Source organism: Homo sapiens, chromosome 4 (assembly GCF_000001405.40).
Source record: "Homo sapiens chromosome 4, GRCh38.p14 Primary Assembly".
Classification (NCBI taxonomy): Eukaryota; Metazoa; Chordata; class Mammalia; order Primates; family Hominidae; genus Homo; species Homo sapiens.
Genome location: NC_000004.12, coordinates 168,266,593 through 168,279,820, shown reverse-complemented (window position 1 = coordinate 168,279,820; position 13,228 = coordinate 168,266,593). Strand labels below are relative to the sequence as shown.

The 13,228-nt window shown below is 37.3% G+C and overlaps 1 protein-coding gene across 7 annotated transcripts in view; it reads left to right on the top strand.

Annotated features, from left to right (window-relative positions):
- The window catches only part of DDX60 (DExD/H-box helicase 60), a 109,686-nt gene that overhangs the window by 46,159 nt on the left and 50,299 nt on the right, over positions 1–13,228 (top strand). For 5 of the 7 annotated variants that reach the window (XM_024454132.2, NM_017631.6, NM_001410861.1 and 2 more), the window contains 8 exons: positions 3,640–3,806; positions 4,318–4,476; positions 5,738–5,887; positions 6,423–6,542; positions 7,683–7,778; positions 10,852–10,967; positions 11,838–11,980; positions 12,130–12,239. In XM_024454132.2, coding sequence (XP_024309900.1) covers positions 3,640–3,806; positions 4,318–4,476; positions 5,738–5,887; positions 6,423–6,542; positions 7,683–7,778; positions 10,852–10,967; positions 11,838–11,980; positions 12,130–12,239 — 1,061 coding nt within the window. Of the gene's footprint in view, positions 1–3,639; positions 3,807–4,317; positions 4,477–5,737; positions 5,888–6,422; positions 6,543–7,682; positions 7,779–10,851; positions 10,968–11,837; positions 11,981–12,129; positions 12,244–13,228 lie in introns of all 7 variants that reach the window. The other 2 variants (XM_017008384.2, XM_017008383.2) reach the window with 1 other exon arrangement.

The following is a 13,228-nucleotide window of genomic DNA, read 5'->3' as shown; positions in this document are numbered from 1 at the left end:
ATTCAGGTTCTGCTTCAGGTTCTTCATCTTCCTCCCTAGATGACTCAATAAGTTCTTCCATTTCCTCATTTGTTAACATTTCCTAATGAACTTCAATATGTTGTTTCACTTCTTTATCAAACACGTTGGCAAATCTCTCTCTATCAATCAGTCTTGCTGCATGAATTATTTTCCTAACTTCTCCATTGATCCCCAGGAAGTCTCGAATATCACTCAGGACTTTACTCCATAAATTCTTCCAGCAGGCATTTATAGTTTTTGGGTTTAATTAATCCATTGCATCTTTGGTGAGTGTTATTGCATCAGCAATAGTGAATAATTTCCAGCACCTTATCATGTCCAGATTAGGGTCTGCATCAATTGCTGATTGAATGTAATCAAACACCAGGCAGGTGTATGTGGCTTTGGCAAACTGAATGATGCCATAGTCAAGGCGCTGAAGCAGTGAGTTTGTATTTGGAGGTAAAAATACAATCTCAATGTTTTCATTTTCAACAAAAACAGATTTGGGATGGCTAGGTGCATTGTCTAGTATTCCAAGCTTTCCTCTTTCAAGTATTTTTTCACTTCTGGGAAGAAGCATTGGTAGAACCATTCCATAAAAATGTTGGCTGTCATTCACACTTTCTGATTATGTTGCCAGAACACAAGAAGATAATTTTTGCTTTTGTTTTTGAGAGTGTATGTCTTCTTCAGTCTGTATGCTATGCCTGTCTTTATTATATGCACTGCAGCATTGCCACCTAGTACCAGGGTTACTCTGTCCTTCCATGTTTTATGTCTTGGTGCCTCCTTTGGACTTTTATGAATGTGTAGGTTCTATTGGGCATCTTCTTCCAGAAGAGCCTGGTTTCATCACAATTAAAACCTTGCTTTGGATGGTATCCTTTCTTTCTAACCAACTTCTTCAACTCTGCCAGAAATGTGGCAGCAGCTTCTTCATTGGCAGATGGAGCCTCTTCAGTCAGTAGTTTTTTTGTTTTGTTCTGTTTTTGAGATGGAGCCTCGCTCTGTCACCAGACTGGAGTGCAGTGGTGTGATCTTGCTCACTGCAACCTCCGCCTCCTGGGTTCAAGCTATTCTGCTGCCTCAGCCTCCTGAGTATCTGGGACTGCATGCACACACCACCATGCCCAGCTAATTTTTGTATTTTTACTAGAGATGGGATTTCACCATGTTGGCATGTTGGCCAGGATCATCGATCTCTTGACCTCATGATCTGCCCACCTTAGCTTTTCAAATTGCTGGGATTACAGGCGTGAGCCACTGAGCCCGGCCCGCTTCAGTATTTTTTATATTTTTCAGTCCAAACCTATTCCTGAATTTGTGTAACCATCCTATATTTGAAGAAAATGGGTCATTGTCACTCATTTCAGAGGATGCCTTGTTGAAGTCTTCATACAGATTCAATGCTTTCAGGTGCAACATGTTTCCATCACCTGGAAAATATTTTCTATTCATGTCTTCCACCTTCTATCTTAACTAAGCACTTATCAAACACTGTGTCCAAAACTTTTGCCATTTGAGGTGCAACAGCAAAACTAGCACGGATTTCTTTTTTCTTCTTCACAACTTCATGGATAAAAGATTGTTTCTGACTGTAGATCTTAGCAACCTCAGCATATGAGTTTTTCTTCACTTATTAAGTCAAGAACTTTCATGTTTTCACTTAAAGAAAGCACTTTATGGCTTCTTTTTGGCATATCTGAATTGCCAACATCACTTATTTTACAGTTTGGGGCCACTATTAAGTAAAAGAAGGGTTATTTGAACACCAACACTGAGGCATCAATGCAGTCAATCTGATCATCAAGGTGGCTACTAAGTAACTAATGGGAAGGTGGTGTCTACAGTGTGAACATGGGGGACAAAGGAAGGATTCATGTCCTGAGCAGGATGAAGTGAGATGGTGCGAGATTTCATCACACGACTCAAAATGGTGTGCAATTTAAAAACATATGATTTATGTATTTCTGGAATTTTCTTTTTTTTTTTTTTCTTTTTTTTTTTTTGAGATGGAGTCTCGCTCTTTCGCTCAGGCTGCAGTGCAGTGGCACTATCTCGGCTCACTGCAAGCTCTGCCTCCTGGGTTCACGCCATTCTCCTCCCTCAGCCTCCTGAGTAGCTGGGACTACAGGCGCCCACCACCGCATCCGGCTAATTCACCATGTTAGCCAGGATGGTCTCCATCTCCTGACGTTGTGATCTGCCCGCCTCGGCCTCCCAAAGTGCTGGGATTACGGGTGTGAGCCACTGCGCCCGGCCTGGAATTTTCATTTAATAGTTTTGAACCACAGTTTAGCTCAGATCCCTGACACCACCAATAAAAGGACAATTTTGTATTTTATCAATGAGCAATGAAATCTCAGAGAGGGTCCCAAGGGCAAATATATAGCACATCCATAAGCACCTTCAAAGACGGGTGCAAAAAGAACAACTTATAAGGTTGTGGGCGTGGTTAAGGGAACCAACAAAAACGATGAGGCACCCAGGAAGAATCTGTCATTCACCTTTGAGACCAATGAGTAAACATTTCTTTTTTGGGTAACACTGTATTCATGCTTCCCTGGCACGCTGAGTTCTTCCAAAGCTGCTGTGGATACCATGTGCTCTACTTTATAATTTCCATAGCAGGTAGTAAAAAAGAAAAGAAGAGGCAGAAAGAGGAAGATACAGGTGAAATAGGATCACATCAAGATGTGTAAACTCACGGCAAGTGAAATGATCTTGTTCCATAATACCTCCAAACTGACAGTTCTTCTGAGCAAACCTAGTTGATCTGTCAGTTTTGAGCATCTCCACACTTTGATCCATTTAACACATGACCTCCATGTTCTCTCCAACACCCTGACCTATTGTTTCTCTCCAGCAACCTCCTATTGTTTCTGCTGCTTAATTGGGAATGATCAAGTGTTATGCATTGTTTTTCTAAGTGAACTGCTCACCTAGAAAAACAGTGCATAACAATCAGTATGAACTGTATTACATTTCCTTTGTAGCCTCTTACTGTATTCAGTAGGTGTTAGTTAATATTGTTAAATAGGTGAAATATAGGTGATTGATTAGAAGAAACCCTGACATAATAAGTATGAAATAATTAGCAGAGCAGAGGAACAAAAAGGGTATGTATGAATATAAAGCAATGGAGAGAGATTAGCAACATCTAGAATGTGACAGTTGGAAGAGGTGGATTGAATTGAAGGGCTCCAATGAGTACACCAAATACTTATCTGTGGTCAACCATAGGACTCAATAAATGTTGCTAAGGTTTTAACCAGATATTTCAAGTAATAAAGATATTTTTCTTTGAACATAGTAGAGCACATATGAAAATAAAAGATGGAGAAAATATTTGTTATTCTTCCTAAACTTTTACAAACTTGAGCTTTTTTGATCTTATTTCTATTATGAACTACAATTTTTTTCCCAACACTGATATAGCTACATCTCAACAATCCACAGAGATGATGAAGTGTGGATAGTGGAACTTCAATTTTACTTTATTTGGTCCTTTCTACTCCAAAACCTCCACTAATGCCAAGTGAGATAGTGAGGCCATCTAGATGATTAATCTTGGGTAATCAAATGAATTATTTTTGATGGTCTTTATAACAATTTTATTGTTTATTGTTTATCAAGGTAAAACCACGAAAGATTTAAGTATAGCTGTTCAGGTGATGAAAAGGATCCACTCCTTGATGGAAAAATACTCAGAACTTTTACAAGAAGATGATCGGCAACTCATAGCCAGATGCCTTAAGTATTTAGGATTTGATGAGTTGGCAAGTTCTTTACATCCAGCCCAGGTAATATTATCAGAATAGCTCAATTTCAACAGGGTAATTATTAGGTATACATAAAGTGTTTTGCAAAGATAGTCATCTCTTCCAGATTTTTTTTTTTTTTTTACTGAAAATACTATTATTAGTAGTAACCCAACTGCCCAATCTTGAAGTAATACATAATGAGAAAATTTGTACAAATGCTTACCTGGACAAACAGATTAAATGCCAGATAATCTCTGCAGATCCTTTAAAACTAACCCTGCACTTAATTCTAGCAAAACATCTCAAAACTAGTGTGATTATTCAATTGTCTTTAAATATATCAGGTTGTAGCCACAAATATCATGACGTATATTTGAAAATCTTGATGTCTACTAATTTTACCTAGTTAAGACAATGATTTAAAAAATTTAAATTTAAAAGGTGGTAAAATGCTTTTCACATAGAAAGTGCTCAGTAATAAATGTTTTACTTATTTAAATGATATTCTAATTCAATGTCATTTTCAAAATGGACTTTTAAAATAATGCAGGATGCAGAAAATGATGTAAAAGTGAAGAAAAGGAATAAATATTCAGTTGGCATTGGGCCAGCTCGGTTCCAACTGCAATACATGGGCCATTATTTGATACGAGATGAGAGAAAAGACCCAGATCCCAGGGTCCAGGATTTTATTCCCGACACATGGCAGGTAATACTGCAAATGAAACAAAAATTACTGTATTTTCTTATTATATGTGATCTCAGAGGTTTCTCATTATTGTGGCTGTACATGTTATATTTGATGTTCATGTCATTTAAAGATACTTTGTTATTGAAAATGTCAAATGTGGACTATTTTTTCCCCATTTAAAGAAAGTGAGATTTTCTTTTATTATATAGACCATTTCCTTGGAGGTACATTAATGGAGTCATATGTTTAGCTCTGATGTTATCTCAGTGTCATCCAGCTGTATCATCATGGAGCAGCCTCCAGGTTTTCCGTGTGTCAATAGGATTTCATATGTAAATATATAAAGTGCATAGAGAAATTTGGATAGTTTAAATAGTAGGGACAATTGTTTAGATATTTACACATTGCATCTGTCACCATAGTAGCTATTCTAAAAATGTATATAAAATTAATATTGAGGGATATAAAATTTAGAAGAAAAGGATGCATTTCTACATACATTGAACCATACCAACTTGCTGATAAATTGAACATGTTTGCCTACAGAAATGCAGTTTTATAGCTTCAGTCTAATAGACTGCCCCCTTCAGAATCTTTCTTATGATGGTGGGGTAGGTTAAAAAATGCATGGTGCCTTTTCATGAATAGGAAGACCGGTTCCTTGCTTCAGTGCAGGACTAGAGGCACTAATGCTCTCCATTAATTTCATTCACATTGTAACTCTTCTGATGCCCAATTCACGCTGAGGTGTGGCCGGGAGTGGACCGGTTGGGGTTTTGAGTTGTTTTCCCACCTTCTACCTATTACATAGACTTATTATCATTCTTCGGCTAGTCAACATTCTTCGGCTGAAGGGATGGAGCTCTCTCATCCTGGCATTCTTCTATGTAGAAAGTAGAATATCAGTAGTAAAATTAAGAATGTTTGATGTTTCTTCTCCTCAGCTATTTTCTTCACCATCAGTAATATACATATTGTCTCTTTCTTAGAACTTAGTTTCTCAACCGCACTTAGTAAATAGCAAATAATTACAAGATGTTTTCTCAATAATAAGATATTTTGTTCAGACATCCTCTCCATTTGTCACACATAAAACCCACCTTACAGATGTTCAAAAGCATAAAAATGATCTCTTCTGAGAGAATGACATGAGACCTTCAGATGTACCTACAGATCCTTTGAGGTTCAGAAAATCGTATTGGAAGTCTATAAATACTGTCTTTGTTTTGGTAACATACGGTTCAGTTTCTTGACATGAATGGTACTCTGCACCCTGCAGCGAGAGCTCCTTGATGTTGTGGATAAGAATGAGTCAGCAGTGATTGTTGCCCCAACGTCCTCAGGCAAAACCTATGCCTCCTACTACTGTATGGAGAAAGTGCTGAAGGAGAGCGACGACGGGGTGGTCGTGTACGTTGCACCCACAAAGGTAGTGCTCAAGTGACTATAATATTCTCTTTCATTCCTGAACCTACTATTTAAAAATAATGAACATGGTCACATGGTAGATCTAGTTCACTTTATTTTTTAACCTGCATTTTCTTGTTTCAGTGTCTGAAGCTAAAATAATATACATATACATATACACATACATACACACACACACAAACATGTACATAAAATAACATATACATATTCAAACTTTAGACATCAGAGGAAAGTCACCAAATATAGGAGACACAATTTTTTTTCTGATATATAGGCAACATTTTCTGTTTTTCCTTCTGATGAATACTTTTTAAATTCCATTTTACTTTAGGTTGAGGTTTATCAATGAGATTTGTGTGCTGAGTCAACTATCTCAAAGAGAATATGTTAGTGTGTTTAGAGTAGTGGGTTGATGAAAGGGGTTAGTAAGCTTTCTGCACTGAAAGCAGGACACACTTTTAGACAGTTCTTGTTGTCCTCTGATATTTCACCTCTCTCTATTATGTGACTAATGGATCTTTTTCTTTGTCAATCAGGCCCTTGTTAATCAAGTGGCAGCAACTGTTCAGAATCGTTTTACGAAAAATCTGCCAAGTGGTGAAGTTCTCTGTGGTGTTTTCACCAGGGAGTATCGTCATGATGCCTTAAACTGTCAGGTAGGGTATTTTAATTAATAAGTGTGTTATCAAATTATATAACTGTACTTGTATGTCTCTTTGACTAGAAATTCAACATCTTCACAAGGCTTGTGAAAATAATTTATTTGAATTTATGAAAGACAAAATACTTTTAGAAAAAATGTAATATTGTTACATTTCAAAGAGTGAGAACTAGAACTCATCTTTCTCTAAGGACACTGACCTTTGGATTTCTGATTTCATTAATATTTTATTGCATTGTCTTGGTTTGTAAAGGGATTCAGAATGATCTGAAGAATGCTATGTTATAGAAAATTAACAAATCTCAATTTTAAATCAATTACTTTTTCTTCATAAGTATCTATTAAGGATACTCATGATTTAGAAAATGTTGTATTATGGATCGTATACCTGGTGTTAAATCATAGACAGTTTTCACCCTTATGAACTCACAGATCAACAATTAAGACTAAATAAGAATGAACACATGATTATAGAAGATTGCATGGTAGACATGGAGATGTTCTACCCAGATTGCCTTTCAAAGAAGGACTTGATGTGGGGAGTGTGGTTAAGATAGATGCCAGCCATCAGCTCCCCCAGTTCTGCCTCCACAGTCTCTACCCTGCAACTGAGCTAAGTAGAAGTATAAGCAGCGGGCTGCTGTGGCTTGATGTGGAACAACTCTGACAGCAGTCCTTACTCCAGAACTGCGAGCTAGGTTGGCTGAGGCTCCATCAGGCCTGCCTTGCAGTTAGGCTTCCCCCTCTGCTCATTCCTGCTTCCCTGCTCTTTTCACACTAGCTGATTCTTAATAAACATCTTTCAATCTAAACTCTATGTCAGTGTCAGGTTTTAAAGAATGAAACTTGTGACAATGAATAATTTCTATTTTTAAACCCTGAATGTTCATAAACAAGGATGTAAACTTCAAATCTGATTTTCTACCATTTTTGGCCTAACAAAATTTCAGTTTCATATGGTTCCAATGAATATAGCACAGTTTTGATGAAACCCTGAATTCTCAGAAGCAATGTTATATGCCAATTATCAGCAGGTACATTCAGGACTCATAAGTCTATCTTACATATTCCTGTAAATATGTCAACACATAGTAAGTGCTCAAAATGTTACTTCACACAATATTATTCTTTGTAGGTACTTATTACAGTGCCTGCCTGCTTTGAAATTCTGCTGCTTGCTCCTCATCGCCAAAACTGGGTGAAAAAGATCAGATATGTTATATTTGATGAGGTAGGTTTGGTGTTCTTTCTTTGCTTAATTCCCTAGTGCACACTTGCATAGCAATGAAGATATTTGGTGTTTCAGGACATCTATCCCCTTGGATGGAGTTCAGATTGAGAAGGCCTCCGTTTTTTTTTCCTGAGTGATTTTTCAGGAAAAATCACTTTTTTGGCTCCCTTTTCCTGTTGTGACTCAATAGGGTAAAATGATGCACCCTGCAGAGTTCTGTATGGGAGTGGAATCTTTCATTGACAACTGTTTCAGGGGAAATAGAATTCAACCATCCTGGTACAAGTTTCCCTGGACAGAGATTTCAATCCAATCTTTGACCTCTAAAGTAAATAATTTTTGGCTCTAACAATGATGTCAATTACATAAGTTTTATCAGTCATGATCCCAACAGATAATTAAATGACACTCTTGAAATGCAATAATTCAAGAAGTGTATTTTTCAAAGGTGTATGTGAGGGAATCCACAAGGGTTAGTGCAGTAATATAGAGCTAGTAGTTTGCCCCTTGGCTTAAAGGGGCAGGGCGTGGAAGCATTTATGGAAACTCAAAAGGAGATTCCAATTGAGTTGGCCATATTGTGAGGAACATAGCTGATTCAAGGTAGCTTTGCAGGAAAGGAGCCAATGGAAAAATGACCTCAGCCTCAGTCTCCCCACTTCTTCTGATCTATGGCCAAGACCCTTCATAGGCCAAACGCAGTGGAACCAGAAATCATAAGAGTCCTTTTGACGAAGTGTCTATGGGTCAGCTTCCCTGGGAAGAGAGAGCAGAATAAAAAACAATGTAGATTTGTAGCGATTTATTGGGGCAAATGGAAGATACTTAGCAAAGCTATATTGCAGCATTATTTGGAATATTTATTGGTCAGGTGCGGTGGCTCACACCTCTAATCCCAGGACTGTGGGAAGCTGAGGTGGGCAGATTGCCTGAGGTCAGGAGTTTGAGGCCAGCCTGGCCAACGTGGTGAAACCCCATCTCTACTAAAAATACAAAAATTAGCTGGGTGTGGTGGCAGGTGCCTGTAATCTCAGCTACTCAGGAGGCTGAGGCAGGAGAACCACTTGAACCCAGGAGGTGGAGGTTGCAGTGAGCCAAGATCGTACCACTGCACTCCAGCCTGGGTACCAGAGCGAAACTCCATCTCCAAAAAAAAAAAAAAAAAAAGAAAGAAAGAAAAAAAAGGGGGAATATTTATTAAAAGAGATTTAAAACATGATAGAAAGATATATTCTTTGACTCTGTGGAATTTTACATTCAAAGGGGAAAAGTTTAACAAATCTCTGTAACTTACCTTTTCCTTGCTGTAAACTTGGAGCTACCAAATAGGCTGTGCTTTGGATTTGTTTGATACTGATTTATTATATTTATTTTTGGTTAATCTCATATTGCATCATGAAGGTCTTGAATATTATAGTTTTCAAAAATCCAACAACTTTGTCTGTGCAATCTAGAACTTTGAATTAAAATCTGATCTCAAAACTCTGAAGTGCTATGACGATATGACTTTGGCTATTTCAGTTTTTCAAATTTTGTGTAAGGGATAAAACCAAAAGGTTTTAAAGGCTAATGTCTATTCTGGCAGAATCAGGGAACAGTGCTATCTAGTGCAAAGCATAAGGTCAATATTTGATGGAGTGGTATTTTATCTCACCAGTACAAGCCCAGATGGGCAGTGGGTATGCATATTCTAATAGGTATATAATTTGACTTTGATAGTAAGTCTTTTTCAGTTGCTTGCTAGGTGTCATACTTTAATCTCTTAAATGAAGACCACATTTGAGACTCTTTTCTGAATCTAGTTTGATTTGCTCATCCGTTCATTTACTCAGCAGATATTTAAGGAGTGCCTCCTCAGTGCTAGGCTTTGTGTCAGTGGCTAGGAATAGAATATTCAGGTCTAAGGTTACAGTTTACTTAATGCCTTATCTATTAGACACTGGAGCTGACAGCAGTTTAATCAAGAAAGAGGAAATAAACAAGTGAGCTCACAAATGATGATGCCAGCCCACGTTGGTACAAACTGTGAAGGGAGAGACCAGGCTGTCATGACTGCAGTCCTGGCAGAGTGTCAGGAGGAGGCAACTCTGGAATAGGTGGTCAGAAAAGTCTTTTTTATGGAGTGGCATTGAGCTGAACTCTACCATTTGAATAATAGAGGGTAAGAGTATTTTAAGCAGAGGGAATAATATACGTGAAAGCTCTTGGGTAGAAAGGGTGAGTTCAAGGAACAAAGAAAAGGTCATTCTTTCTGGACCATAGTAAAGGTGGAGACAGTGGATTGAGATAAAGCCAGAGAGGCAGCAGCGGCCAAATGATGCCAGACATTATACATCCCATTAAGGAGTTTATATTTTATTTCACATGCAAAGGGAAGATATTAAAGCAATTTATTTAGTGACATGACTTGATATAGTTTATCTTTTTAAACTTTTTTTTTTTGAGATGGAGTCTCGCTCTGTTGCCCAGGCTGGAACCCAGTGGCGCGATCTCAGCTCACTGCAAGCTCTGCCTTCCGGGTTCACGCCATTCTCCTGCCTCAGCCTCCGAAGTAGCTGGGACTACAGGCACCCACCACCACGCCCGGCTAATTTTTTTTTGTTTTCTTAGTGGAGACGGGGTTTCACTGTGTTAGCCAGGATGGCCTCGATCTCCTGACCTCGTGATCCGCCCTCCTCGGCCTCCCAAAGTGCTGGGATTACAGGCGTGAGCCACCGTGCCCGGCCAACATTTTTATTTTGGCTGTGATGTGAAGAATTTAAGGGCAGATAGGGAGGCTAAGTACAGTAGTCAAGTGGGTATTGTGGTAACGCTGCTGAGATATGAGAGTAGCTAGGTTGGCAGTAGACATGAAGAGAAATGCATTGAGTTGAAGGAAATTTTTGAAAGTAAAGTAAAGCAGAACTGTTGGTGCATTGGTTGTGAGGATTTTTAATATTTCTTTAAACTTGGCATGGTCACTTAAAGGCGATGGGAAGGCATGCATGACAATTTCAAGATTCCATGTCTTAACTTTCATTTGCTATTTTTAAATCAACTTTTCAGTTGAGATTTTTTTTTTTTTGTTTAATAGGTTCATTGTCTTGGTGGAGAAATTGGAGCAGAAATCTGGGAACATCTCCTTGTCATGATCCGATGTCCCTTTTTGGCTCTTTCAGCTACCATAAGTAATCCTGAACATCTCACCGAGTAGGCATTAAGTTTCAATTTGGACAGAGTGTTTATCTATTTTGAATATTTGAATTTCATAATTTCTCTGTGGATTCTGAGGAGTTTCATAATTTTCTAGTGAATTTAATAGTTTATTTCTGAATCTTCAAGAAACTGCATCTCTCTACACCTCCTGGCCGTAGTTGAGGAAAGCCACCCTGTATAAATTAAGGACTTCCCCACCTAGATCTACAATTGAGTAGGAAATTTCCCCCATCCCAAAAATGATTCATCAGAAAAGATATATTTTTGTTTCTTTTTTTGTCCTTCACCAAGAAATAAAAAATAAAATGATATAACAACACACTCAGCCATGGGTCCTGTGGTCCATTTTCCCACTTTACAGAGATGTTTAGAAAGATAGCAAATTCTTATTAGATGAAAACCCCATTTTATCTTGTCATTGGGCTTGATTTTTGCCTACTACTAATAATTTTTTTACTTTATAATAATAGTTATTTATTTACTAATAACAATCCTATAATACCTCCTATGTGCCCAGTACTGTTCTAAGTGCTTTACATGTATTAATTTATTTTAAATGCCCAGCAACCCTTATGATTTAAGCTTACTTCCATTACTACTATTAAATAGTCACAGTTCCAATATGAATACCATATTTCCATTTTAAAATGTGGAAAACTAGGTACAGAAAGATGAAGTTATTCAACCAAGAGACACAGCTATTACTAAGAAGGTTGGGATTTAATTTCAGGTAGTCTGGCTTCTGAGTCTATTCCCCTAAGTACACTTTATAAGGAAGATGAAATTGTCTTTACTTAAACTACTTAATTTCACAGGAAGTAGTTCCATGTTCTGCCTAAATAATATGTACATTTATTTTTTAAGGTGGCTACAATCGGTAAAATGGTACTGGAAACAAGAAGACAAAATAATTGAAAATAATACCGCTTCTAAAAGACATGTGGGTCGTCAGGCCGGCTTTCCCAAAGACTACTTGCAAGTAAAACAATCGTATAAAGTTAGACTTGGTATGTTTGATATATTTATATAAAGCTTGCCTTTTATTTTATTATTTTTAAAAAATCTGCCATTGCCTTGATCTTGATGCCGTTTACTTTAAATTTGTTTCAGTGATTACATTTCCATTGATGTGGAAATTCTTGTTCTTCATTTTTAGTGCTCTATGGAGAGAGGTATAATGATCTAGAGAAGCATGTATGTTCAATAAAACATGGTGACATTCATTTTGATCATTTTCACCCATGTGCTGCACTAACAACAGATCATGTAGGTAATATTTTAGCCATATTTGTTCTAAGTAATATAAAATATTTGTATATATTATAAATAAATGCTGCCTAATTGATATGTATCAGAATTATAGAATAGAATTACAGAATTACAGAAACTGATACTTTAACCTTAATTTAAAAAATAACAAGAGTATTCTTTCTAATTCTCATTGGTTCTTCAACAATGCCTGAATACACAAAGATTAAAAACCACTACAAATTTAACCTGAATTTTTAGCTAATTTTATTTATTCTCGGATGTTTTCTTTGGCAATTTTTCTTCCTCTCAGCTCCCATGTCTGTCTGTCTACCCCTCTGACACTAATTCTTCTCATAGTGCAGCCATACAATTATATGTAGACAATCCCTAGTACATAGAAAAATCAGGTAAAAGACATTCTCACTAATGTAGCAATCACGACATGATTTTTTTGGTGGTGAGCCAGTAAGGTGGAGGTCTTAGGAAGATTTCAGCTGGGACACCGGGGTGTGAGTGGGGAAAGATTACTTACTTTTTCTTGCATAGTTCTCTTCCTCTCTCATCCTAGTCCCATACATGGCCCATTTAAACTTCCTTTGGCTTTCAAAGTGATGATTAGTCAATAGTTTTGTCTTCCTTCTAAAACCTTAAATATATTCCAAATTCTGTTATGTTAAACATAATAAGACATCCATCATAAGATTGTTGTGATGATTAAAGGAGGTAAAATATGTAAAATTTTTAGAGCACAAAAGTCAACATAATTTGACACGAATATAATTAAATGTAACTCTCAGCTTTCTTTGAAGATAATTTTGATCTTTCCAAGTCTCTTTTGACTTTCTTTTGGAAAAAGCTAAATGCATACCTCCTTAGCTTGACAACCAAGGTCATCTATGACCTGGCCCCAATCTCCTTTCCATTCATTCACTGGGGATATCTTACCTGGCAGCCCTCATGCTATATATTGCTCTTAGAATATTTCAAACCGGATGCCAAATACC